The sequence below is a fragment of the Homo sapiens genome, chromosome 12, assembly GCF_000001405.40.
Source record: "Homo sapiens chromosome 12, GRCh38.p14 Primary Assembly".
NCBI lineage: Eukaryota > Metazoa > Chordata > Mammalia > Primates > Hominidae > Homo > Homo sapiens.
The window spans coordinates 57,693,761-57,721,697 of record NC_000012.12 but is presented as its reverse complement, the minus strand read 5'-3'; the positions used below and the strand labels follow the sequence as shown (position 1 = coordinate 57,721,697).

General features: G+C 44.1%; 1 protein-coding gene across 11 annotated transcripts, besides 2 other annotated features; it reads right to left on the bottom strand.

Annotated features, from left to right (window-relative positions):
• Nucleotides 141-27,566, bottom strand: OS9 (OS9 endoplasmic reticulum lectin). 11 transcript variants are annotated; one of them, NM_001410980.1, is made up of 15 exons: nt 27,375-27,566; nt 26,772-26,948; nt 25,855-25,918; nt 25,660-25,736; nt 25,325-25,423; nt 5,728-5,938; nt 5,505-5,609; nt 5,186-5,286; nt 4,954-5,005; nt 3,740-3,828; nt 3,277-3,552; nt 2,516-2,705; nt 1,435-1,599; nt 1,180-1,292; nt 141-914 (listed from the first exon to the last, which is right to left on the bottom strand). In NM_001410980.1, the coding sequence occupies exons 1-15, from the start codon at nt 27,534-27,536 to the stop codon at nt 789-791; spliced, it is 2,007 nt and encodes a 668-aa protein (NP_001397909.1). In that variant the 5' UTR covers nt 27,537-27,566; the 3' UTR covers nt 141-788. The 11 variants fall into 11 exon arrangements, with proteins under 11 accessions (NP_001397909.1, NP_001397907.1, NP_006803.1 ...); NM_001410978.1 differs by having other exon boundaries at nt 3,322-3,552; NM_006812.4 differs by having other exon boundaries at nt 5,505-5,606.
• Nucleotides 27,326-27,375: an enhancer, noted in NCBI's record as "active region_6550". NCBI's record gives its function as "activates an Ori minimal core promoter by ATAC-STARR-seq in GM12878 lymphoblastoid cells {active_cell/tissue: GM12878}" and the evidence as "EXISTENCE:reporter gene assay evidence [ECO:0000049][PMID:35858748]".
• Nucleotides 27,363-27,937: an enhancer, noted in NCBI's record as "OCT4-NANOG-H3K27ac hESC enhancer chr12:58087544-58088118 (GRCh37/hg19 assembly coordinates)". NCBI's record gives its function as "activates a minimal SCP1, AML or CMV promoter by ChIP-STARR-seq in naive H9 embryonic stem cells {active_cell/tissue: H9 hESC(naive)}" and the evidence as "EXISTENCE:reporter gene assay evidence [ECO:0000049][PMID:30033119]".

The following is a 27,937-nucleotide window of genomic DNA, read 5'->3' as shown; positions in this document are numbered from 1 at the left end:
TGGTCTCTTCCTGCATACCCCAGCCCCCGTTTATAGTACCTGGGGAATGGGGAGCAAAGAACAGGATCAGAGCATGATCTGAAAAGAACACTGAGCCTTCTCCCTGCTGGAACCCCCACCCCACAAAAAAGGTTGATGGATTGATGGTCCAGTTGTTTATTTAGAAACCTGATTGTTCAAGAACATGGTGGGTGCTTCACACCTTTTTCACTGGGATTGTGCTGGAGGTGATAGGCAGCATTCTACCATTTCCTCAGCAACAGAGGTGAAGGCTCCTCAACTCAGAAGCACAAATTGTAGGGGACAGGGTGGGCAGGGAAAGGGAGAAGGAAATCCCAAGGCAATTCAATAGAAGAGGGTAAAACGACTCCAAACATCACTAAGGGCAGGTGGGGGCCTGCTTGCTCAGTGCCTGCTAAGTGTCCTGCCCTCCTTGCTCTCTCTACCCACCTCCACTCAAAAGATCCTACTGAATCTCCAGGTAGGCAGCAGGGAATATCCTATCATTAGGGGACAATAACAGGAAAAGCCACAGAGGAGAGGAAGAGGATTGAGTGAGAGTTCAGGAGAGCAAATATCACAGGCCCGGTGAGGTCTCAAGGTGGCTGCCAGCAGGGGCAGCAGCATTCACCCAGGGCCCCCACACCCACAGAGTTGCCCGAGAGGTCCACAGCTCAGCTCCACTCTGCTGTTTGGCCCTCAGGGGTTCCAGGGTGGGGAGGTGGGGAGGAGGCAAGCCAGTCCAGGAAGAGTCTGGATTCCGTGAAGGGTCAAGTGTAGTGTTGGTCTCAGAAGTCAAATTCGTCCAGGTCCCCTGTGCCCTCCCCACCTGGAGAGCCCCACACCCGGCGGTAATTGCTCTCCAGCTCTTTCTGCCGCTGGCGTTCCTTCTGGGCCTCTTCAGCTCCCGGCACCTGGTGGGAGAGGGTAGAGGTGGGCTGGAGCTACTGGCCGTTGAGCCCAGGGAAGTCCTGGGCCAGGCAGCTGGGGGAAGGCAGGGAATGAGGACACCCATGTCCTGAGGGGCTCTTCCTGCATGGCAGCACTCTGAGCCACTGGAACCCCAGCCTTGTCTTACAGATCAGGAAATGGAAGCTCAGCAATGGCGTGGCTGGGGCAAGCCCGCACCTCCACTCCAGGAGGGCTGGGGGCCAGGACTCGGGGGTAGAAGCCTCTTACCAAGATATTGAAGAAGATCTCCTTGAGGTTTCTCGTGTCCTCATCAGTCAGCCAACGTGCACCCTCTTCAGTCCCTTCAGCCCATGGGCGGACAATTTTGATCTCAATTTTCCCTGGAAAGGAGCAGTATGCAGTGAGAGGAGAGGATGGTTGGGAGCCTCAGGGCAGGCCCCCTGCCCCACTGGTCCCAGCCCCTCCACTTCCGGCAGCTTGCCCTTCCGACAGCACTGGGTCCAGCCGCCCTCCAGGGCCCACCTGCAGCTGTGAGTCCCTCCCTCTCCAGCAGCTCCTTCACCAGCCCCTCGATTTGTTTCAGCTGTGGGTTTTCCCGTTTCATCTCGAGGACAGTCAGATCCTGATTAGGGCCTCCGAGACGGAGCTTGGTGACCCGGACCCGGACTCTGTGCTCAGGATCCTCCTCTTAGAGGGGGAGACACACAGGGAAACACAAAGCAGAGGCGTGACTCCAGGGTTAGGGGTGTGGGGGTCATCTCCCCCTAAAACATCAGTTGGCTTTGGCAGCTCTTCCATCTCAACATGTATATGAGCCAGGGCTCAAAAAAATGTGTGCCCCGCCCCTCCCAGTTCAGCCTGTAGAGCTCCCTCCACCAATTGCAGCCTTCCATCTTCCCGCCCTACCCAATAATTCTGCCCGTCACCTATAGGAAAACAAATGTTTTCTAAAGCCAAAATCAGGCCACCTGCACCAACAAAGTTCTGTTTGAAGAAGCAGGTTGGAAAAGTGTGGTCTCCTCCTCCATATGTTGGGACTTTAAAGACATTTCAATGTTTATAGAGAGAGTGGGAATGGAAGGTTTGAAACTGGAACATTCCATTTAGAATATCTGATGTCCACACCCATAGGACACTATGAAATGGACACAAGGGGATACAAGAAGAAGAAATAATTTAAAGTCTATCCAAGCTATTGGCTCATGTGCAGCTGGGCTCTCCTATTCATGCCCTGACAGCTGGGGCCTCTCTTGGTGCAAAGTCCTAAAGTGGTTTTCAGCATATAGACTCACAAGCATTCAATTACTAGCTACTGATCATCCATTGTGTGCCAGGCAGAGTGCTAGGCACTGGGTGTACAGGAGCAAACCAGAAAACCAGCAGATATGCTCTAAAAGCTGCTTCCCAGAGGGATGAATAGGAGGTAAACACGCAAAGGGATGATGGTGTTGGGAAGCAGGCGCAAGTGAGGACAGTGTTCCAGAAAGTGGGGAGAGAATGAGCACCCTCAGAAGGGAAGGAACAGGGTCCCCTCTGGGAACAGAACCAGCTGAGGGATGAAAACAACAGACTGGGCTACTCTTTCTTGTCTGACTGCTCTCACCTGTAGGTTGGGGTGATGGGGGAGGCTTTTTGGGGACAACCCTCTTTTTCTTGTGCTTCTTCACCAGCTCTGGACTCTGTTTTTCCTCCAGTCTTTTGATGAGTTTGTTGAGAGTGGATGTGAGAGCCAGCATTGCCCGATCCCGCTCTGACTCCTTCTTCAGCCCATCTGGGTCCAGCTCTTTCTCTGTCTGGAATACCCAAGAGAAGAGAGTGAGTCAAGGGTCTGGGGTGTGGAGGCAGCCAGCGGGCTGGGCTCTGTAGGAGAGTCTGATATTTTGAAATGGAGTTTTGCTTATCACCCAGGCTGGAGTACAGTGGTGCCGTCTCGGCTCACTGCAACCTCCGCCTCCCGGGTTCGAGCGATTCTCTTGCCTCAGCCTTCCAAAGAGCTGGGATTACAGGTACCCACTGCCATGCCTGGCCAATTTGTTTGCATTTTTAGTAGAGAGGGTTTCGCCATGTTGGCCAGGCTGGTCTTGAACTCCTGACCTCAGGTGATCCGCTCACCTCGGCCTCCCAAAGTGCTGGGATTACAGGCGTGAGCCACCGCGCCTGGCCAGAGAGTCTGATATTTAAGTCTTGTCCCTCTCTCTGGTCCCCCTTCCCCAACAGCCCCGATTAATTAGGGAAACAGCTACCACTTCCAAGTGCCCCGTCCTTGCCCTGTGCTGTGCCCTCTGTTTCTTTTAGCCCGTCAGCCTGTCCTGCTCCACGGGACCAGGCGGCTGTGGAAGCAACAGGAGGAAGAGCTGGGCTTGCCTCCTGGATGATGTTTTCCAGTTCCCGCTCCATGCCAGCCTTCACCTCCGAACGGAGCCGGTCTCGGTCTGACGGAAGCAGGATCCCTTCCAGTTCCTTCTCAAATTCTCCCAGTAACTGCCGTTCATCCTCATCTTCATCCTCATCCTCATCCTCATCCTCCTCTTCTTCCATCTCTCTCTGCCGTTCTGGATCACCCCTTTCCTTCTCTGGTTCCCTCTGAGGGACTTCTGCAGCATCATCCACAGGCTGCTCTTGGCCTATATTTGGCTTCCCCTGGGTGGGTAGGGAGTGGGGAGAAAGACAGTTGGGGTTTCAACAGAGACACATGGTCGGGGGCAGACAAACAGTAGCAGGTGTGTGGTACTGGGGGACCCAGGAGTTGAGTCCCAGGTCAGGGTAGTTTTTCAAATGCTCGCAGTTGGGAGGTGGGTTCTACCCATTCCCTAAGCACGGCCTATACCTTTTTTGTTCCACCTTTCAGCTCCTCTATGAATCGAATCAAATCCGCAGGGCTTCGAATGACTTTGACCTGCACGTTGTTCTGAAAATCTGAGATGAAAGAATAATAATCATGAACCTGTTCTGTTGTGTTTAAATTCTTTTTTTTTTTTTTTTTTTTTTTTTTTGAGACAGAGTCTTGCACTGTCACCCAAGCTGGAGCACAGTGGTGCAATCTCTGCTCACTGCAACCTCTGCCTCCCGGGTTCAAGAGATTCTCCTGCCTCAGCCTCCCAAGTAGCTGGGATTACAGGCGCCTGCCACCACACCCAGCTAATTTTTGTATTTTTAGTAGAGATGGGGTTTCACCATGTTGGCCAGGTTTGTCTTGAACTCTTGACCTCAGGTGATCCACCTGCCTCAGCCTCCCAAAGTGCTGGGATTACAGGCATGAGCCACCACGCCCGGCTCTTTTTCTTTTTCAACATGGTGTGTTACTATGTTGCCCAAGATGATCTTGAACTCCTGGGCTCAAGCAATCTTCCTGCATCAGCCTTCCAAGTAACTAGGATTACAGGTGTGCGCTACTGCGCTCCTAAATTCTCTCTGGATTCCTAAGGACAGGTAATGAGAGACCAAGGAAGGACATGGTCCCTGCCTCTAGGATTTACCTGTTTGACAGTGAGACAAGGGCAAATATTCGCCTGCAGAGAGCACCATCCTAAGGTGGACACTCTGGTAGGAGAGATGGATGCTAACAAGCTGCTAAGTCCCCACTCTTCCATGCACTTCTGAGGCCCTTCTGGCAGTCACTCTAGCTTTTAGGACTACAGAGGAGATCCTGGGGCTAAGGGCTTGTCTTCCCTGGAACCCTTCTCCTCTTTCCACAAATATTAACCATTTAGTTTATTCAGTTCCAGGCCTTCTACTGTGAATTATGGATGCATTCTCATTTAATCCCATGCAACCCTCTAAGGTAGGGGTTATTACCCTCATTTTATGGGTAAGAAAATTGAGGTTAAGTGAATTACAAAGTCACCAAGTGGTGGAGCCACTGTGTTCTGCCACCTTGCTAAAATAGCAGTGCTGTCTACAAAGAGTATTAACTCCTATAAAAATGAATTTTCTGCCGGCCTGGCTACCCAACCTCCCTCCCAGGCTTAGCTCTCCCCTCCATCCCTACCCCTGCCAATCCTAAAATATATTCAGTAAAGGAGACATGGAAGGTTCACTCACCATTGGGAGCACCAGAAGCTGAATCTGCTGCCTCAGGGCTTGGGTCCTGCTCCTGACGAGGAGAAAAGGAGAGAGTCAAGTATGAAAGCCTGTTCATGCCCTCCATACTATGAAGGCAAAGGTTCTGGGGATATCCTTGCATCCCTAGGTAGATGTAGGTCACCTCACAATGGCCCCAGCTGCAGTGACCCTCCCCATCCCCATCCTGCTCCTCTGAGGCAGCTGGTCTCACCTCAGCCGGCACCTCCTCCCCTCCTGGGGCCTGGTCCTCTGGCTCATTAAGCATCTTCCAGAAATCTGAGTCCTTACTGTCATCCTTGGTCGGGCTCGCACCTAGGGTACAGAGAACAGGGAGAGACTGATCTGACAGGAGGGGTGAGACAGAAGGGAGCAAATAGGATGGGGTCCCTTCCCCTCCTCTATCACCAAGGGAGGAGGGCCCATGGTACTTTTCCACCCCCCCCCACCCCACCAGTCAGTCAGGACAGTAAGATCAGGGGAAGGGAAGAAATGGAAGTGAGTTTCACGGAACAGGTGAAACAAGGTCCTACCTGCCATCTTTTGGGGTGCCACCCCAGACTTGGTCTCACTCCACACTTGGGGGCCTAGATCTTGCAGCTCCTCTATGATTTTATCTCCATACTGCTTTGAGTCTACTGAGAAACAGCATGCAAGCAGGCCAGGAACACATTCCTCCAGCTATTCAATACTTGATCTTTTGCCACCCCCTGCCCCCGTATCTCCCCGTCTTCTCCTCCTTCTCTAATTACTCACCGGCTTGCCTCTGAACGTAGGCCATGTACTCCTCAGGCTGTAGGGAAGGGTGACAGAGGATGGCCTGCGGTGCAGCACTGGGTGGGGGCCGGAGGAGAGGGTGGGGGCAGAGCCGAGGAGTGCGAATGGTCAGCACATAAGAGCAGGACAAGGGCTCGTCCACGCGATCGATGTAGTCCCCAGAGATACCTGCACCCTCGTCACAGAGGAACTGCCAGGACAGAAAGGATGAATACACTTAATCACCAACAATAATTTGCTTTAGTTATTAGAGCAGGTGTCTTTTACTAAGCACTGATTATCTGTCAAGCATTGTGCATACACTGTGCATATGGCACTTTACATAAATTGGCTCACTTATCACAAAGACCCAGTGAGGCGATATTGGTTTCTCAACTTCGTGCCTCAAGAAACAGGTGTGGTGCAGTTAAGGCACTTGTTCAGGTTGACCAGCCTTTAAGTGGTAAAAACAGGAACTGAATTCAGGCAGCTTAACTGTAGGTAACCAATTTATGTTTCATATTCTTGTTTTGTATAAATATTGTGTGTGTGTATATATATACTTTTATTTGCTTCATATATGTATTATTATTATTATTATTATTTTTGAGATGGAGTCTCACTCTGTCATCCAGGCTGGAGTGCAATGGCATGATCTCAGCTCACTGCAACCTCCGCCTCCTGGGTTCAAGCGATTCTCCGGCCTCAGCCTCCCGAGGAGCTGGGATTACAGGCACCTGCCATCATGCCTGGCTAATTTTTGTATTTTTGTAGAGACAGGGTTTCACCATGTTAGCCCAGCTGGTCTTGAACTCCTGACCTCAGGTGATCCACCCACCTTGGCCTCCCAAAGTGCTGGGGTTACAGGCATGAGCCACAAGGCCTGGCCTGTATTTTTTTTAAAGTGTATATATATTTGTATATAAATATGTAATTTTTATATATGTGCATATGGTAAAAAACTTCAAACAATTCTAAGATTCTTATATCATTCAGAAAGAGGGTAAAGAGATTGATTGGCCTTTGATAAATTAAGCATGCAATATTCTAATTTCTAAAATAACTATTAAAAGTAAGAGAGGCTGGTGGTTCACACCTGTAATCCCAACACTTTGGGAGGCCAAGGCAGGAGGATGGCTTGATGCCAAAAATTCAAGACCAGCCTTGGCAACATAGTGAGACTCATCTCCACAAAAAATTTTTAAAAATTAGCGAGGTGTGGTGGTGTGCACCTGTAGTCTTAGCAACTTGGGAGACTGAGGCAGGAAGATCCCTTAAGCCCAGGAGTTCAAAGTTACAGTGAGCTATGATCATGCCACACTGCATTCCAACCCGTGTGGAAAGCAAGACCTTGTCTCAAAAACAAAAAGTGGGAGCGGTCCTACTTCTGAAATGGCAGCATGAGGGATTTCGCACACTCCACAGGGAAACTCCATTACTGATGAAAATTTAAAAACACAAAGCATGGCTGGGCGCGGTGGCTCACACCTGTAATCCCAGCACTTTGGGAGGCCGAGGCAGGTGGATCACCTGAGGTCAGGAATTCGAGACAAGCCTGACCAACATGGAGAAACCCCATCTCTACTAAAAATACAAAATTAGCCAGCCTTGTGGCACATGCCTGTAATCCCAGCTACTCGGGAGGCTGAGGCAGGAGAATTGCTTGAACCTGGGAGGCCAAGGTTGCGGTGAGCCGAGATCGCACCATTGCACTCCAGCCTGGGCAACAAGAGTGAAACTCTGTCTCAATACAAACAAACAAACAAACATAAAGCATTTAAACTCTTTGGAAATTTTCCTAAGGACATATAACAAATGAAGAAATGTTTACTCAAGAAAATCTACTAAATCTTTTTTTTTTTTTCAGACAGGGTCTCACTGTGTCACCCAGGCTGGAGTGCAGTGGCATGATCACAGCTCACTGAAGCCTCAACCTCCTAGGTCCAAGCAATCTTCCCACTTCAACCTCCCAAGGTAGGACTACAGGTGTGTGCCACCATATCCAACTAATTTTTACAAATTTTTTTGTAGAGACAGGGTCCCGCTATGTTGTCCAGGCTTTCCAGGGCTCAAGCAATCCTCCCACCCAAAGTGCTGGTATTACAGGTGTGAGCCACCATGCCCAGCTACTAAATCTTGAATAGTGAGAATTTGCAGCACTTGAACCATGACATGCTCCCTCAATCTATGCCCCAAACCCCTACCCCACAGCTCAGTTAGACTAAAGCTCCACTCCAGCAGGTAAGCGTAGTTAAAAAAAAAAAAAAAAAAAGTGGGGTGGGGCGGTGGAGGGGGAGGGACTTCCTATTCTCTCAACATCCAGTCATGAGATATGATATATGGTATTTTACCAGGAGGGCCACCAGCTCCAAGATACAGCAACTAAATTCCTGAAAAAGATCAAGGGCTCCCTTCCTCCACTCAGCCCCACCCACAGGGCAGAGGCTTTACCTCAAGTGCAGTGGGACAAAAGTATCGGGGCCCTGATTGCCCTCACGGAAGCTTGCTCAGAGAGTGGAGGTTTCACAAAAGGAGATGCAAACCGAGAGAGCAGAGGTTGTCATCCCTGCCTAGCTCCCTGCTCATAAAGCAGGAATGTCCTTCCAAGTGAAGCAAGCCATTATTCCTGACCCCAACTCCAGAGCAGGGCCTCGGGGATTTTGCCCAGGGGGAGAGGCAGTCCGTAAGAATACAGGGCTCCAAAACATTCTCCAAAGGACCTGACTTAATATGAAACAGAGTATGGGGAAATTCAAGCCTATAGGCACTTCAAAAATGTAGAGATTTTGGCAGGAGGCAATTAAAAGGAGGCTGATTGCTCCATGATAGCAACAGGCTAAACCTTGGGACAGCTAGTTTAACAGAGAGAACCAGGGAAAGGGCAACTGAGAGCCGTCCTGGACTCAGAACAAACCTATATATTGCCCTCAAAAACTAGCCCGACAAAGGGGCCCACAATTAACTGGACTAAACTATGGAACAACTTATGCCCCACATGTCAAAAACAATAAAGCAATTAGTTGGCAATGAATGGAGCCTAACAGCTGGGGGTGATACCAGCAGAGGCAGATGGCTTAACAAATTCATGAAAGAAACAGTCAAAAAGCCTGCTGAAACCACTGTCATCTAGTGTGGCTGTGTGCAGGGCCAAGACCGTGCACTCTGAGAAGAGACACTAGAGGCTTCATGTTGTGAGGGGGAGACTGAATGCAAGTAGTGCAGCCAAGTCACTGAACAAATGAACAAACAAAAGCCATGGGGTGGAGGGCAGGAATTTCTATCTGGAGTTACTACAACATACTATCTAAAATGTCTGATTTTCAACAATTATGAAACATGCAGAAACAGTAAAGTATGAAACATATATAGGAAAATATGCAGGCAACAGAAACCACCTGTGAGAGGGCCCAGATGTTGGATCTCACAAAGAGTTAAAAGTAGCCATTATATTAATAAATATATTCAAAGAATTAAGAATTTAAGTCACACAAAGTGTGTTCTCTGACCATAATGGAATAAAATTAGAAATGAATGAGGAAAAAAATTTGGAAATTCAGAAATATGTAGAAATTAAACAATATACTCATTAAGTAACCAGTGAGTTAAAGGAAAAAAATCAAAAGAAAACTATAAAATACCTCAAAAATGAACGAAAATGAAGACATAACATATCCAAACTTACAGGATGCAGCTGAAGTAGTGCTTAGAGGGAAATTCATAGCTATAAACATCAATTTTTTAAAAACAAAATCTTGACTCCATAATCTACCCTTCTATCTTAAGAAACTAGAAAAAGAAGAACACACTAAACCAAGAGCCAGCAGAGGGAAAGACTACAGACTAGGACAAAAATAAATGAAATAGAGAACAGGAATACCATCCTATGTGTCCAAAGACAGGGAACCACAGATACACCTTTGTAGGGAGTTTATATATGTTTTTAAGTTTCTGTAATAAAAAGTTTAAAAAAGACAATCTTTAAATATCCATAACTTGCACCTGGCAATTATGCTTTTTTTGCTTACTTTCTTTTTCTTCTTTTTTAATAGATGCAGGGTCTTGCTCTGTTGCCCAGGCTGGTCTCAAACTCCTGGGCTCAAGTGATCCTCTCTCCTCAGCCTCCCAAAGTGTTGGGAATATTGGCATTAGCCACTGTGCCCAGCCCAATTATATGTAAGATATATTTACACATGCATATATGTACAATGTAATAATCATTTGTGACAACAAAAGAATTGGGGGTGGAACTATTTCAACCAGTAGAATAATGGTGACAAAATGATGGAACACACAATGGAATTTTATGCAGCTATAAAAACAAAAAAGGGCCAGGCATGGTGGCTCATGCCTATAATCCCAGCACTTTGGGAGGCCAAGGAGGGCAGATCACGAGGTCAAGAGATCAAGGCCATCCTGGTCAACATGGTGAAACTCCATCTCTACTAACAATACAAAAATTAGCTGGGTGTGGTGGCGCACACCTGTAGTCCCAGCTACTCGGGAGGCTGAGGCAGGTGAATCCCTTGAACCCGGGAGGTGGAGGTTGCAGTGAGCAGAGATCGCGCCACTGCACTCCAGCCTGGGTAACAGAGCAAGACTCCGTCTCAAAAAAAAAAAAAAAAAAAAAAAAAAGATATACTGCCATTGAAAGATCTCTCTAAGGTTTATTGTCCAGGGAAATAAAAGCAAGGTATAGAACAGTGTGTTTAATTTACTATATATTGTTTATAAATAAAGGGGAAAGGAAATAAGAATCTCCATTCATAATTGTTTGTAATCACACAAAAAGGCTGGAAGGATACATGCAAAACTAAGACCAGGGTTAACCTGTGGGGCTGGAGCAGGGATGGCGGGGAGAGAATGGGAAATGAGCAGATGAGAGACAAGTATGGGAGGAAATATTTTTCTCTTTTTTTTTTTTTTTTTTTTTTTGAGACGGAGTCTTGCTCAGTCACCCAGGCTGGAGCATAGTGGTGTGATCTCGGCTCACTGCAACCTCTGCCTCCTGGGTTCAAGCGATTCTCCTGCCTCAGCCTCCTGAGTAGCTGGGACTACAGACATGCCTCACCACACCCTGTAATTTTTGTATTTTTAGTAGAGACAGGGTTTCACCATATGGGCCAAGCTGGTCTTGAACTCCTGACCTCAGGTGGTCCGCCTGCCTCGGCCTCCCAAAGTGCTGGGATTACAGGCATGAGCCACCATGACCAGGTGGGAAATATTTCATTACATACCTTTTAAATAATACTTTCTGGGTTTTGTATCATGGGAAAGTATTATCTATTTAATAATTAGATAAGGAATTTAAAATAGCCATTAAAAACTTGTCAGAGATATATAGATGGTTGGAGACAAATTTATGAGATATAAAAGAGGAAAAGCTGAAAATGAATGAGCTAGGCATTCATTTCAAGAAGTTGAACAAACAGTAAAATAAACCCAGAAAAGTAGAAGGAAGGAAAATAAAGATTAGAGTAGAAATTAATAGAAAACAAATACAACAGAGAAGCTCAACAGAGCCAAAAATTGTTTCTTTGAAAAAACTAGTAAAACTGACTAACCTCTGATGTGACTGACCAGTAACAAATTAGTGATGCAAAAATAACCCATGAGGAATGAAAAGAGGAACCTAATTACAGATGCCACAGAGATTAAAAAGATAGAAGAATACAATGAACTTTATGCCAATAAATCTTAAAAGTTAGATGAAATGAACTCCTGAAAAGAAAACTTAAACTGTCCCAAGTAGAAACAGAAAACTTTGAATATTCCTAAAACTACTTCAGAAAATGAATCAGTAGTTAAAAATCTACCCACAGCCAGGTGCGGGTGGCTCACGCCTGTAATCCCAGCACTTCAGGAGGCCAAGGTGAGCGGATCACTTGAGGTCAGGAGTTTGAGACCAGCCTGGCCAACATGGCGAAACCCCATCTCTACTAGAAATACAAAAATTAGCTGGGCATGGTGGCACACGCCTATAATTCCAGCTACCTGGGAGGCTGACGCACGAGAATCTCTTGAACCTGGGAGGCAGAGGTTGCAGTGAGCCGAGATCATGCCACTGCACTCCAGCCTGGGTGACATAGTGAGACTCTGTCTCAAAAAAAAAGTAATAACAAAAAAAAAAAGGGATCGTCAGGGATAATATATATGACCACATTTGGTTCATTTCAGGAATGCAAAGTTGGTGCAACATTAGAAAACCTATAAATTATTTAATTTCAAAATTAAACATAGCCTTAAAACATATAAATAAAAAATTAACAAAATTGCCAAATCCACCATCACAGTGGGAATATTAACAGAGTTCTTTAAATGATCACTAGTCAACTCAACATAAAATTGTAGAAAATCTGAACAATACGGTGAGCATCTTGAACTGCTTAATTGGAGAAAAGACATGCTTTCAAGCGCAAACATACAATTTTTTAAAAATTCATCAAAAAGAAAGTCTCAGCAATCACCAAAAGAATCACTGACACAATGGCATAAAATTAGAAACCAATAGCAATCATATAAAAACAACAAAGCAAAACACATTTGTTTAGAAATATATTAAGCATAATTCTAAATAAGTTCAGAAGCACGTAGAAACCATAATGAAAATGGAAACACCACATACTAAAATTTGAGGGATGCAACCAAAATAGTACTCAGAGTGAAATGTAGAGCTTTAAGTGTATAATTAAGAGAGAAGACAGATTGAAAAGCATTTCGCTGAAGAAGTTATAAAAATATTTGCAACTCACATCACAGACAAAAGGACAATATCTCTACTATATAGAGTTCTTATAAATTGACAAGAAAAAGACCAGCAAGCCATTAGGAAAACGAGCAAAGAATTTGGACAGCTGAAAGAAAAGAGTAAAGAAGGGAGTAGAGAAAACCCTTAAATGAGGAAAATTAGACATTTTTTTCTTAAGAGAAATGCAAATTAAAACCACACTAAGAAATCATTCTTTCTCTGATGCCTACCTGATGATTGGCCAAAATCCAAAAGTTTAAAAATATACCAGGTTGGCACGGCTATAGGGAAATCAGCATTCCCATACGTTGTTGGAGGGAAAGTAATTTACCTAAGCAGAGTGATTTCGCAGCACGTAGCAAAATTACACAAACTTACTGCAGCACATAGCAAAACTACACAAACTTACTTCCAGGAACTCAATTTACATATCCTCTGTAAGTACAAGATTATTCAGTGCAGCACTTGTGTGTTAATAAAAGATTTAAAGCAAGCTAAATGTCCATCAACAGGGAACCATTTAGATAAAAAATGATACAACTATATAACAGAATAACAGAAACTATATGCAGGAATAAGGATGACTTTTTTTTTTTTTTTGAGACAGTGTCACTCTTTTGCTCAGGCTGGAGTGCAATGGTATGACAATAGCTCACTGCAACCTTGACCTCCTGGGCTGAAAAGATCCTCCCTTATCAGCCTCCTGAGCAGCTGGGACCACAGGCACACACTACCACACCTGGCTAAATATTTTTTTGTAGAGATGGGATCTCACTACGTTGGCTAGGCTGGTCTCAAACTACTGGCCTCAAGCGATCCTCCTGCCTCCACTTCCCAAAGTGCTAGGATTACAGGCATGAGCCACCACACCTGGCCCAAGTAAGGTTTTATATATATATTGATTTGGAAAGAGTGCAAAGATATATGCTTATATGTGCATTTAAAAAAATCTCAGAGTATATAAAGAAATTAACAATGGTTACCTTTCTTTAAGGATGGAAAGAGGCTAATGAGGGACAAGATGTGTTAATACTTTTCTCTGTATACCTTTTAAGCATTTCTATAGTTGAGTTATGTGAATGTGATTATGCCTATTCAGAAAATTTAATATAGAATTTTTTATTTAAAAAATTTGAGATGATGTCTTGCTCTGTCACCAAGCTGGAGTGCAGTGGTGTGTTCATAGCTCACTGTAGCCTTGACCTCCTGGGTTGAAGAGATCCTCCCAACTCAGCCTCCCAAGTAGCTGGGACCACAGGCACGTGCCACCACACCTGGCTAATTTTTTTTTTTTTTCCATAGAGACAGGGTCTCACTGTGTTGCCTAGGCTGGTCTCAAACTCCTAGCCTCAAGTGATCCTCCCACCTTGGCCTCCCAAAATGCTAGGATTATAGGGCATGAGCTACCATGCCTGGCCAGAATTTTTTAATGTTAAAAAAAATTCAAGTTGTTAGAAAAAAAAGAAATCAGAATAACACAAAGAAAGGAGAAGGAAGGAAATAACAAAGATAAAATAACGAACATGTGGCGGGACACGGTGGCTCACGCCTGTAATCCCAGCACTTTAGGAAGCCAAGGCAGGTGGATCACCTGAGGTCAGGAGTTCGAGACCAGCCTGACCAACATGAAGAAACCCCGTCTCTACTAAAAATAAAAAAATTAGCTGGGCATAGTGGAGCATAAAGCACCATCCCCTTGGTGCTTTCTCGTGACAGTGAGTGAGTTCTCAAGAGATCTGGTTGTGGCATGTCCCCCCTCTCTCTTTTGCTCCTGCTTCCACCATGTGAGACTCTGGCTCCCCACTTGCCTTTCACCATGATTGGAAGCTTCCTAAATCCTCCTCAGAAGTAGAGGCTGCTATGCTTCCTGTATGGCCAGCACAACTGTGAGACAATTAAACCTCTTTTCTTTATAAATTGCCCAGTCACAGGTATTTCTTTATAACAATGTGAGAATGGACTAATACAATGTTAGTGAAATACTAAATGAACAACAGAGAGGATAAACAAAACCAAAAGGTGGTTATTGGACTAATAAACTAGACAAGCCTCTGGCAACATAGATCAAGAAAAAAGAGAAAAGGCAAAGTCAATATTAGGAATGCAAAAGAGGATATATTTACAAAAAGAGATTATTAAAAAACAAAAAAATCTGTAATTTTATACTAATACATTTGAAAATTTAGACAAATGAATAATGGCCTATGAAATTATACTTTATTAAAGCTTCATGATGCAGCAAACCAAAAAAGTCTTATAATCTTTAAATAAATTAAATCAGTAGCAACAACGATCCCCCCAATATACCGGTTTTGTAGCATATTGTGGGGATGGGGAGGATTTATTTTATCTAAACTTTTTTTTTTTTTTTTTTTTTTTCAGAGAGTCATGCTCTGTCACCCAGGCTGGAGTCCAGTGGCGTGATAACAGCTCCTAACAGCCTCAACCTCTCCAACTAAAGCAATCCTCCTGCTTCAGCCTCCCAAGTAACTGGGACTACAGGTGTACACCACCACATCAGGCTAATTTAAAACTTTTTTTTTGAGAGACAGGAGTCTCACTATGTTGCTCAGGCTGGGCTCCTAGGCTCAAGAAATCTTCCTGCCTTGGCCTCCCAAAGTGTTGGGATTACAGGCATGAGCCACCACACCCGACCCTACCTAACCTTTGAAGAATAATCTCTATCTTAGCAAACTGCTCCACAGAGCAGAAAAAGAGGGAAGCTCCTCAAGATATTTTATGAAGTGAATGCAACTTTATACAAAAACAAGGTAAGTACAAGAAGAGAAAATTATAGACCAATTCACTTACGAAAATAGTTATAAAAGTTAATTATACTATCAGGATACTGAATATAGCAATGTACAAAAAAAAAACTTCATGACCATGGATTATCCCAGAAGTGAAAGAATAAAAAAAAACTAGAAAATAAATTAACATTTTTAATATTAAAAAAACCATATGACTATCTCAATAGACACAGAATAAGCATGTGTTAAACTTCCACACCTATACATGGTGAAAATATCCAGCAGTCTAGGTACAGAATGGAACTTCACATACCTGATAAAAGGTATCTGCAAAAAGCCTGCAGGAAAACATCACGCTAACAGTGAAACTTCAGGAGCATCCCCTTTAAAGTCAGAAACAAGTCAAGGATGCCCATCATTGCCACTTCTGTTGCACTCGAGGTATAAGAAAAATGAAATGTATACAACTTAGAAAGGAAGAAACCAAAACTGTTTCTCTTGCAGATGACATAATTATCTATACAGAAAATCCACAAGAATTTGTGAACTACTAAAAATGAAAGAGTTCAAAAAAGAGTTGCTGAGTGTAAGATCAATATGTAAAACCAATAATGTGACCATGTACCAGCAACAATCAGAAAACGGAATTTTTGGCCAGGCACAGTGGCTCATTGCCTGTAATCCCAGCACTTTAGTAGGCCGACGGTGGATCACATGAGGCCAGGAGTTTGAGACTAGCCTGGCCAATATGACAAAACCCCCGCTCTAAAAAAATTACAATAATTAGCTGGGCGTGGTGGTACGCACCTGTAATCCCAGCTACTCGGGAGGTTGAGGCAGAGAATCACTTGAACCTGGGAGGCAGAGGCTGCAGTGAGCCAAGATCGCACCCCAGCCTTGATGACAGAGCAAGACCCCATCTCAAAAAATAATAATAATAAAGAAAATGAAATTTGTAAAAGATGCTACTTAAAATAGCATCTAAAACTATAAGGTCCTGTATGTTTGAAATATATGCATACACAAACAAGACAAAAATAAAAACTATAAGGTATCTAGACTAATCTCACATAAGATGTAGAAGAACTTTTAGAGAAAATTAAAGCTTTACTAAAATATAGGACAACAAGTAAATGGAAACAAACACGTTCATAGTGTATGAAGACTTCATATTATAAAGTATCAATTCTCTTCAAATCAGTCTAAAATTAAATTCCAGCCAAAATCCCCAAAAGGAGTTTTAACAGAACTTGGCCAATGATAGCCCCAACAGTTTTGAAGAAAAAAGGGGAGTATATCCTACCAGATACCAAGATTTATGAAAAAGCTATAGTAATTAAAACAACGTGGTAATGACATAGGAATAGATAGACTATTGGAACAAAAGAGAAGCCAAGAAGAAAATGCACATATATTTGAGAACTTGGTAAATAACTGAGGAGGCATTACAAATCAGAGAGGAATGTATGGACTATTCAATAAACAGTGCTGGGGCAACTGTGGAAAATAGGTGTATCTAGGTCCTAACCTTATAACATACATTAAGATAAATTTTTACTGAATTGTAGTCCAAAGTATGAGAAACTCTATTCACACTTTTCTACTTTTTTAGAAACCTGAAAAAAACAGATGAATAGTAAATAGGAAAGGATTAAATAAAAGACATAAGATGTATAAGGTATAAAGAAAAAGACTGATAAGTTTGACTATATTGGAATTTAAATTTTTTAAATTAAAATTCATTTAAGACACTATAAACAAAACAAGAAGACAAAGTATAGATAGAAAGAATGTAGGTGACAAATAATTAAATCTGAAATTTATAAAGAATGCTTTCCTAACTTATTCTGTGAGGCTGGCATTACCATAATATCAAAGCTAGACAATACTACTACAAAATACTACAAGAAAACAATAGACTAATATCTTTTTTTTTTTGGAGATGGAGTCTTGCTCTGTCACCCAGGTTGGAGAGCAGTGGTGCAATCTTGGTTTGCTGCAACCTCCGTCTCCCAGGTTCAAGCGATTCTCCTGTCTCGGTTTCCCGAGTAGCTGGGATTACAGGTGTGCGCCACCACGCCCAGCTAATTTTTGTATTTTCAGTAGAGATGAGGCTTCACCATGTTGGCCAGGCTGGTCTCGAACTCCTGACCTCAGATGATCCACCTGCCTTGGCCTCCCAAAGTGCTGGGATTACAGGTGTGAGCCACCACTCCCGGCGACTAATATCTTTTATACATATAGATGCAAAATTCCTCAACTAAATGGTAGCAAACCAAATTCAGCAGCATATTAAAAGCATTATACATCATGATTTATGTTGGATTCACTCCAAGAATGCAAGGATGGTTCAACATAGGTAAATCAATGTCATATACATTAATAGAATGAAGGGGAAAAAACCCAAATGATCATCTCAACTGATGCAGAAAATGGACTTGATAAATTCAATAACCTTTTCATGTAAAAAAACAATCAACTAGGAATAGGAGGGAATGTCTTCAGTTATTGATAAAGTCCATATAAGAAAAACCCACAGTTAACGTCATACTCAATGGTGAAACATTGAAAGCTTCTCCCTTAAGATTAGGAACAAGACAAGGACAGCCATTCTTTTCATTTCTATTCAACATAATACTGGAAGTTTTAGAGTGATTAGGAATGAAAAAGAAATGAAAGGCATCCAATGGTGTTTTTTATAGAAAAAAAAAAATCTTAAAATTCACATGGAATGTCCAGGGATCCCAAATATCCATAACAATATTAAAAAAAGAACAAAGTTAGAGGACTCACATTTCCTGACTTAAATCTTAATACAAAGCTACTATAATCAAAACAGTGTGATACTGGCAAAAAGACAGACATATTTACCAATGGAATAGTATAGAAAGGCCAGAAATAAACCCTCACATATATGGTCAACTGATTTTTGGTAAGGATACCAAGAATATTCCATGGGGAAAGGACAGTCTTTTCAACAAACGATGCCAGGAAAACTGGATATCCATATTCAAAACAATGAAGTTGGACCATATGCAAAAATTACACCACATACAAAAATTAACTCAAAATCAGCAGCTGGGCACAATGGCACACCCCTATAATCCCACCTACTCAGAAGCTGAAGTAGGAAGCTTACCTGAGCCCAGGAGTTTGAGGCTAGCCTGGGCAACATAACGAGACCCCCATCTCTAAGAAAAAAAAATTAACCTCAAATGAATCAAAGACCTAAATTTAAGAGCTAAAACTATAAAACTCTTGGAAATCAAAATTAAAAGCTTTTGTGCACCAAAGGACACTGCTGATGCAGGAGAATCGCTTGAACCTGGGAGGCGGAGGTTGCAGTGAGCTGAGATCGCGCCATTACACTCCAGCCTGGGCAACAAGAGTGAAACTCTGTCTCCAAAAAACAAAGCAAAACAAAAGATAGTAAAAAGGCAACCACAGGATGGGAGAAAATACTTACAAATCATAGATCTGATAAGGGATTAATATTCAGAATTTATTACATAAAGAACTCTCACAACTCACCAACAAAAACCAACTCAATTCAAAAATGGGCAGAGGATTTGAATAGACATTTCTCCAAAAAAGATATACAAATGGTCACCAAGCATATGAAAAGATGTTCAACATCATTAATCACTAGGTAAATGCAAATCAAAAACCACTATGAGATACTACTTCACACCCATTAAGATGGCTATTACTGAAAAAAAAGAAAAAGAAAACAAAGGAAAATAAGTGATGGAGGTAGTGTGGAGAAACTGGAACCCTGTGCACTGCTACTAGGAATGTAAAATGATGCAACTGCTATGGAAAACAGTTTGGCAGTTCCTCAAAAAACTAAACCTAGAATTACCATAAGGCACATTCTACTCCTAGGTACAGACCCAAAAGAATTGAAAACAGGACTCAAACAGATACTTGTACACCAATGTTCATCGCAGCATTATTCACAGTAACCAAAAGATGAAAACCTATTTGTCCATCCATTGATAAATAGGTAAACAAAATGTATATACAGACAATGGAACATGATTAAGCCATAAAAAGAAATAAAATTCTGATATATGCTACAACATGGATGAACCTTGAAAACACCATGCTAAGTGAAATAAGCCAGACACAAAAGGACAAATCTTGTATGATTTCACTCATGTGAAGTACCTAGAACAGGAAACTCATACAGACAGAAAGTAGAACAGAGTCTGGGAGAGGGAGAAATAGGAGTTATTTTTGTTTGGGATGATGAAAAAAGTTTTGGAAATAGTAGTGATGGTGATAGAACACTGAATGTTTCCACTGAATTGTACACTTAAAGACTGTTAGAATGATAACTTTTAGGTTATATATTTTTTCAATCATTAAAAAAATTGAGGGCCAGGCATGGTGGCTCACACCTGTAATCCCAGCACTTTGGGAGGCCAAGGTGGACGGATCACAATGTAAGGAGTTCAAGACCAGCCTGGCCAACATGGTGAAACCCCGTCTCCACTAAAAATACAAAAATTAGCTGGGCATGGTGGCAGGCGCCTGTAGTCCCAGCTACTCAGGAGGCTGAGGCAGGACAATCGCTTGATCCTGGGAGGCGGAGGTTGCAGTGAGCCAAGATCACGCCATTGCACTCCAGCCTGGGCAACAAGAGTGAAACTCTATCTCAAAAAACAAAACAAAACAAAACAAACAAAAAATTGAATTCACCAATAACATACACTCCTGTAACCCAGTGATTCTACTTTCTAGGTATTTCCCTGGAGAAATTCTTGTACACTCACAATAAGACCTACATTGCAGCACTGTGTATAAGGGCATTAGAGTTGAAACCCAACTGTTTATCAACAGAGGAATGGGTAAGTAAGCAATGAAACACAATACAGACATTAAAATCACTCAACCAGGCCAGGCACGGTGGCTCACACCTGTAATCCCAGCACTTTGGGAGGCCAAGGTGGGTGGATCACTTGAGGTCAGGAGTTCAAGACCAGCCTGGCCAACATGGTGAAACCCCTTCCCTACTAAAAATATAAAAATTAACTGGGCGTGGTGGTGGGCACCTATAGTCCCAGCTACTCAGGAGGCTGAGGCAGCAGAATCGCTTGAACCCAGGAGGCCGAGGTTGCAGTGAGCCTAGATTGCACTACTGTATTCCAGCCTGGGTGACAGAGCGAGACTCTGTCTCAAAAAAAAAAAAAAAAAAAAAAAAAAAAAAATCACTCAACCAGAGTTCCATGTCATGCCATTGAATGGCAAACACACTGATCAGTGAAAAAAACAAGTTGATACTCCTGATGTATAATTTTAAAACACAAAACACTATCTATTGTCTGTAATATATATATCAGTAATAAAAATACAAAACAAACATAGTGAGGGTTGTGGTTGTTTCTGGCGGGAGGGAGAGTGACTAAATATGAAGGTGGGCTTTAGCTATTAGCACAAGCATTTTATTCCTTTTTTTAAACCAGAGATCTGAAACAAATCAGGCAAAACATTAACATCTGTTTAACTTGGCAGTGAATTTATGGGTCTCTATGACATTTTTTTTTGTATAATTGTATGTTTTATAACTTAAAAAAATCTTTGATATCTCTAGAATCTTACTTTATAAGAATTGAGTTGGTCTACTACCCTAGACCTTCCTTTAGAGGCAAATTGCTCTCCCAGGGTTCTGCATCCCAGCCCTGTCCGCATTTTTTTCTCACTTTTTCTACTGTACCTTGATCTCCCTCTCCTCCTTTCCGCTAACATCCACCCAACAGCCTTCAACATGTTCTAGTCTGTTGCATCTTAAAACACACACCAATAAATAGGAATTTATTTAATTCCATATAGCTAACCAGTTGTTCCCTAGCCCCACAGAGACTGCACTTTAAACAACATGCACGCTGTTCCTATTGAGGAGGCATCAGGCCAGCAACACATCACAGTGCCTGCCCTGGAGTAGGGGCTTTACCTGATCACCTAGGCAAGTGGCATAAGAACTGAAAACTAGAAGCAACCAGACAGGAATGGCCTCAACTTTCTGCCACCAAAACCTCCAGACTCACTAGCAAATACACCATTCCAGTTACGACCCTAGACCTTCCTTTTGAGGCAAATTGCTCTCCCAGGGTTCTGCATCCCATCCCTGTCCACATTCTTTTCACATTCTCTCTACTGTACCTTGACTTCCCTCTCCTCCTCTCCACTAACATTCACCCAAGTCTTCAACATGTTCTAGTCTGTTCCATCTTAAAACACACACCAACCACAGAATGCCCCCTCTCTCAACCCCCCAGCACCTCTCACTAATGCTTACCTTTTATCTCCCTTTCATATCCAAACTTCTTCAAAGATTTCCAGTTTCTTTTTCTTTTTTTCTTTTCTTTTTTTTCTTTTTTGAGACAGTCTCACTCTGTCACCCAGGCTGGAGTGCAATGGTGCGATATCAGCTCACTGCGACCTCCGCCTCCCGGGTTCAAGCAATTCTCCTGCCTCAGCCTCCCGAGTAGCTGGGATTACAGGCGCCCACCACCACACCCGGCTAATTTTGTATTTTTAGTAGACATGGGGTTTCACCATATTGGCCAGGCTGTTCTTGAACTCCTGACCTCAAGTGATTTGCCTGCCTTGGCCTCCCAAAGTGCTGGGATTATAGGCATGAGCCACCGCGCCCAGCAGAGTTCCACTTTTTCACCACTTTTCTCAACACCTCATCTTCACAACTCTGCTCAAATTGCCCCAGCAAAGATCACCAATGATCTCTATCATTAAGTCCAACCAAAGGACTGGTCAGGGGTGCCTGGAAGTAGAGAATTTATACTTTCCATCTGGCTCTCTTCTCTACTGTCTGAATTTTTTATTTCCATGTACATGTTTTGCCTTTATTAAAATAATAATGACTATGATTGCCTATAAGCAGTTTTTAATCCTCCTCTTCCTTGAAGGTTCAGGCACAGCCAACACCATGGACCAATTTCCCCTTCAAATGTGTCCTTCCTCGTTTCCATGTCACCATAGCCTCCTCTCTGGCCCTTTCTTCTGGCAAAACCCTCTTCTTCCCATGCTCTTAGTGATGGCTTCCTTGAAGTTCCATCCCACTTTTCTCATTAGATACTGTTTTCTTTGGGGGATTTCATCCATACCTTGGCTTCAGTTATGGCTGATACAAGGACAACTCCCCACCTCTGGGTTCAATTCAGATCTCTCTGCTGAACTCCAGACCCAGAGATCCACAGCCCCCTTGGAAATCTCTACTTGAATGCCTAGCAGCCACTAAAATCATATTCAAAGCCAAACTCACCATTTTCCTTCACCATACCTACTCCTCTTCTCATTATACCTATCTCAGGAACACGAATCACCCTCTATCTAACTGCACAAGCCAAAAGCCTGGAAATCATTCTTGACTCCTTCTTACTCTGTTGATTTTACCCCCTAAATCTGTCTCTAAATATTCACATTTCTTCATCCCCAGGCCACTTTTATTTCACACCTGGATTACCACAGCTGCCTAAGTGAGCTCTCAATCTTTGCTATACTCCAGCTAGAGTGGGCCTTCAATTCCAAACCTGAATATGTCATCATTCTGCTTCAAATACCTCATTGCCTCCCCTAACCATTGTCTCTTGGATTGTCTAAATTCCTCATCATAGCTACAGAGCCCTTCATGACCTGTCCCCTACCAACCACCCAGACTCATCTCCTACACTCCTCTTCCCATGATTATCCCCTCAGTCCCTGTGAGTATCTGTCAGTTCCTGGGATAGGCCATTGCCTCTTGTCTCCAGGCCTTTTGCACTTAGCGCACCTTCCATTTGGAATGCCCTCTCATTCCCCCCACCATCCTCTCCATCTGCTAGTCTAACTCCTCATCCTCCAATGTCAGTTCAAAGGTCACTTTTCCCAAGAGGCCTCCTTTTCACCCTGGACTCTGTCCCGACTGTGTGCTCCCCTGCGGGCTGCACTTCACTGCTCATGGCATTTATCCTGCTTGTTGTGGCTGTTCATTTAACATATCTCCTGAGAGCAGGACTAGGTCTCATCCACCTTTTTGTTCCTAGTTTCTATTAGTGCTTGGCACAGGGCATATGTTCACCAGATATGAGGAAGCTATGCAGTCTTGACCTCAGTTCTTGGCCTACTGAAGATACAAACACCCAAACGAATAACTAGAATACAATGAAGTGCTATAACGGATTATATACGTGTGTGGATGCTTGTATTATTAAGTGGTGAAGGAACACAACTAACTAATTTTCTGGGTTAATCAAGAAAGGTGATATTAGAACTGGCTTGTCAGTCATTTCATTCATTCAATGAATAATTTCTAGGTACCTATTTGAGTGAAGCACTGTTCCAGGAGCTGTGGATACATAAGAAAACAAGATAGACATCATCCCTGCCTTCCCAGAGCTTATCTTAGTGAGGGAAGACAGAATTAAACAAATACAATAATTTCAAGTAATGATACATGCTTTGAAGAATGCAAAACACTGTGGATGCTTACCAGGACAGGAGCAATAGGGTGTGTGTGTGTGTGTGTGTGTGTGTGTGTGTGTGTGTGTGTATGTGTGTGTGTGTGTTTGCTTATGTTAGGTTCCGTGTGTGTGTGTGTGTGTGTGTGTGTGTTTGCTTATGTTAGGTTCCCTGGGAGTTGTCACTTGAATATAACCTGAATGAGGGGATGGGGCCAATCATTTAAAGATCTGCAGGAGACTGCACCAGGCAGAGGGAACAATGAGACCCACTGGTTCGAAGGACAGAAAAAGGCCAGTGTGGCAGAAATACAATGAGTACTTATATCTCTATCCCAGACCTTGTCCCTGAATTCCAGAACCACAGAGCCAACTGTCAACTGGACATCACCACTAGGATGTCTAAAGGCACCTCAACCTTCAATATCCAAAACCAACCTAATTTCCTCCCCTAAACCTGTTCCTTCACACTTCAGTAAATTACAATTCCATCATTCCAGTTGCTCAAGCCAAAAATCTTGAAGTAATCCATGATTCTATCCCACATCCAAACCATCAACAAATCTCATTGGCTCTACCTTCAAAATATATCCAGAATCCAACTACTTCCCATCACCTCCACTGCCACCACCCTGGTCTGTGCTGAAACATTTGGCTCTTAGCCTTTGTGCAAGGCAGAAACATTGAAGGTTTTTCAGGACTGAACAGAGAAGTGATGCAGACTTACAGGTGTGTTGGAGCCAACTGGTAAGTTTTGGAGAATGTTGCAAGACAGTTGACATCATTTGACTTGCGCATCATGGGAGTATTTATACCACAGGCATTGGCAAACATTACAGATCAGGGCTTCCCTCCCACACCCATAGAGATCTGGGGGTCCAACACTTACCAGCACACAACTGCAGGTACAAATCTGCATTATGGAAAGATAACTCTGGCAGGTGTCATGTAATTCTTTACAGGTGTGTATATTTGTGAATACATGAGAATCACCCAAGGAACTTTTTGCATTCTATATTTGCCTGCCTCCACTCAGCTAAGGACCACTAGATGAGAAGCACTTGTAAAGAAGCTGTTTGCAGGGATGCAGGCGAGAGTGAAGGTACCGACCACAAGAAAGCATAGGAGAGTTTTGAGAGATATCTAGTGCTGGGATTACAGGCGTGAGCCACCGTGCCCGGCCTGGAAATAATGTGGGTTTTTTTTTTTCTTTTCTTTTTTGAGACAGAGTCTCACTCTGTCACCCAGGTTGGAGCACAGTGGCACGACCTCGGCTCACTGCAACGTCCGCCTCCCAGGTTCAAGCAATTCTCCTGTCTCAGCCTCCCGAGTAGCTGGGCCTATAGGCACCCGCTACCACGCCCGGCTAATTTTTGTATTTTTAGTAGAGATGGGGTTTCACCATATTGGTCAGGCTGGTCTTGAACTCCTGACCTCAGGTGATCTGCCCGCCTCGGCCTCCCAAAGTGCTGGGATTACAGGCATAAGCCACTGCGCCCGGCTGGAAATATGTTTTAAACTTTGGATTTAGGGTCTGGGAGGGGACCCCCCCCGCCCCCGCCCCGACTATAAGATGCAACCCTCTTCCCTTAGAATCTGAACTGTCCCTGTGGGAGTGTCAACTTCCCTCTCTCAAGACTCACCCGAACCTCGGCCTCCCGGGGCCTCCCATTAAGGTCGCACTTGGACCCATTGCCATAGGTCTGGCTGTGGTAGCGTTTAAGACGATGCTGCTTGGAGGCCTGGAGAAGACATGAGGCAGGAATGGGGGACATGAGAAAGATAGCAAAGAGGAAGGATGGCACTGCGTCCCCAAAGAGACAAAAGAATGGCCTGTGCCCCCAGGCCCCAGGAAACTTTGTCCTAATGGCCACCAAGCCCCAAGAAACAGATCAGCTAATCTTGACCCTCCCCTTCTTGTCAGGGCTCTCAGCCGGTGGCCAGAACCCTTTCTTCCTGAATCCCACACTCTTGCCACCTTGGCTGTTTCATCATCCCAGTCGAAGGCTGATTGGTAGTAGCCGAGATAGAGGACTTCACCTTTGATCTCTGAATCTGCAAGGGAAGCCACAGTGAAGCACTGTTACTCTTAAGAGGAGGAGGAGGAGGAGGGAACTGGGGAACTTCCATGATATGACACTAAGGGCTTAAGGAAAATATAGGAGTGAGTTACCTTCCATGTGGTATTGCTGGATGTGGCGTCCATAACAGAATTCATATGTCCACCAGTCCTTTGTCTGACAATTAAAAAATAAACAATCAGGGGGATGGAGTGCAGACATCTTTTCTTGGAACCAGAGTCTCCTGGCTCCAAGACACATAACCTCTCATCTACTTACACACTCAATTCTCTTCCCTTCACTTCCACTCTCAATTCTCCAGACTTTCAGTAAGGAGGGAGGGCTGCTTTCCTTCTGTGACTTGGAGAGATATCTCTAAAGTCTGTTTTCCACTTGTGGTCTTTCCATTCCTCCCTTTTAAAAGATTTTTTAAATCCTTATTTGCCCTCCATAAAGATAAGAAATTATGGTATCCCTGAAGCAATTATATTAGGGAAACATAGAAGAACCCAAAATTAAATATTAATTGAACTTCTTGAACATTCCTGGCACTGTTCTGGCCACTGGGAATACAACTGTGAACAAGATTAATTCTTTGACCTCATGGAGTTTACACTCTAATGCGGGGAATCAGACCGAAAATAAACAAACTGATTCAGTAAATATGATTTCAGATCATGAAAAGTGCTACGATGAAAATAAAACAGGATACTGGAGCAGAGTGATAGGGCAGGGGGTGACTTTAGCAAGTAGGCTTAAGGAAGTACTCCTCCTACCCCACGCAGACCCTCAATCTTGCTTTAGCCCTTTTCTGAGATCTTCTATCCTAACCTGCTCCTACGTTCAGCAAAGTGTCATCAGTGGTTGCAGGATTCTTTGCTTCTTTCCTGTCCGTGTAATCTGTCTACTCCTCCAGTGGTCTTCTTAACCACTACAGGTCCCCTAGATCCTGCCTCATTCAGTGGACTCCAGTTCTTGGATGAACTGCTAGTTTCCAAGCCCTCATTCTATCTAACCCAGTCCCTTTCACCTTCAGCAAGCAGGGAGCATCTCTCATTGGGCTCAACAACTCAGGGATCCCAGGCCCTTGGTAAGCAGGTGTTTCCTCCTCCCTTTCACGCTGGAAGTGAATAGCTCCAGCTGGCAGGCGACACTCATAGCGCTGTTTGTACTTAGAGGAGACAATCACCACGTCCGAAGATTGGCTCTGGGAAAGAAGGGAGGGTCGGGGGGCAAGGAAGCAAAGAAAGGCTGGGATCAGGGAGAACAACGAAATCCCTCTTCAAACCCTGGGGAAGAGATCAGTCGAAGACAGAATAAGCCATAAGCCCTCCAGCTGTATTTAGTGGGTGAGAGGAGAGGGCGCTCCCATTTCTCCACGGGGGCGGAGTCCGGGTGTTTCGATCATAAACTGAGACCTGAAGGTTGACAGCGGGAAGCCCCACCTCTCCCAATTCCTGGCCCCCAGAGAATTGGTCTCAGTCTGCGACCCCCAGGGGTCACCGTAAAAGCAATACCTACTCTTCCCGATTCCCCGTAGGCTCCAGCCCCAGACTCCGGAGCTGCCCTTCTTCCTCTATCTCTTACCCGCTTCCTCTTCTGCCCAGACCCTCGCCCCTTATACGCCTCTCACCTGCCCTCCCATGACAGGCAACGGCAGGATCTCGATCCCATAACGCATCTCACTCAGCTCCTCCAGGTTCAGGCTCCCGACACCGCCGGTCAGACTTGCGGGTAACAGGAGTCCCAGAAGCAGCAGTCCTAACAAACTGGACAGCAGCGTTTCCGCCGCCATCTTTCGTTCCCCTTCTTATGCAGAGAATCTGTTTCCGCCCTAAGCCAGGCAGCGGCCTCAACACGCCCATCGGCGCCACATGATTTTATTGGCTGTACGTTCTATCCCTCCCACGTACCCTATTCCTATTTGTAAACGTGGCTCCAAGGTCCTGGGGAGGTGGATCACGACGATTAGAAATATCAATCGCTGTCCGTGATTGGTCAGAGACCAGCCAATCATCGACAAGATCAAACCCCTCCTCGTTCCCCAATTTCAGAGGCGTGGTCTATGCGCTTGGTCCTTTTAAGTTTGCCCTCTGTCTTCGCCCAGCTGTCATGCGCATCTCATTGCTTTTTCAGACGTCTCTTGCATTATATCCTGCCCACCGCCGGGCGGAGTATTGAGGCAGATAGGTAGCG

Coding starts and splice junctions, on each gene's coding strand:
- OS9 (NM_001410980.1), bottom strand. CDS start 27,536: ATGGCGGCGGAAACGCTGCTGTCCAGTTTGTTAGGACTGCTGCTTCTG. Junction 3,553..3,739: donor TGAAAGGTGGAACAAAAAAG/GTATAGGCCGTG, acceptor CTACCCACCCAG/GGGAAGCCAAATATAGGCCA. Junction 1,293..1,434: donor GGAGGGACTCACAGCTGCAG/GTGGGCCCTGGA, acceptor GCTCCTTTCCAG/GGAAAATTGAGATCAAAATT.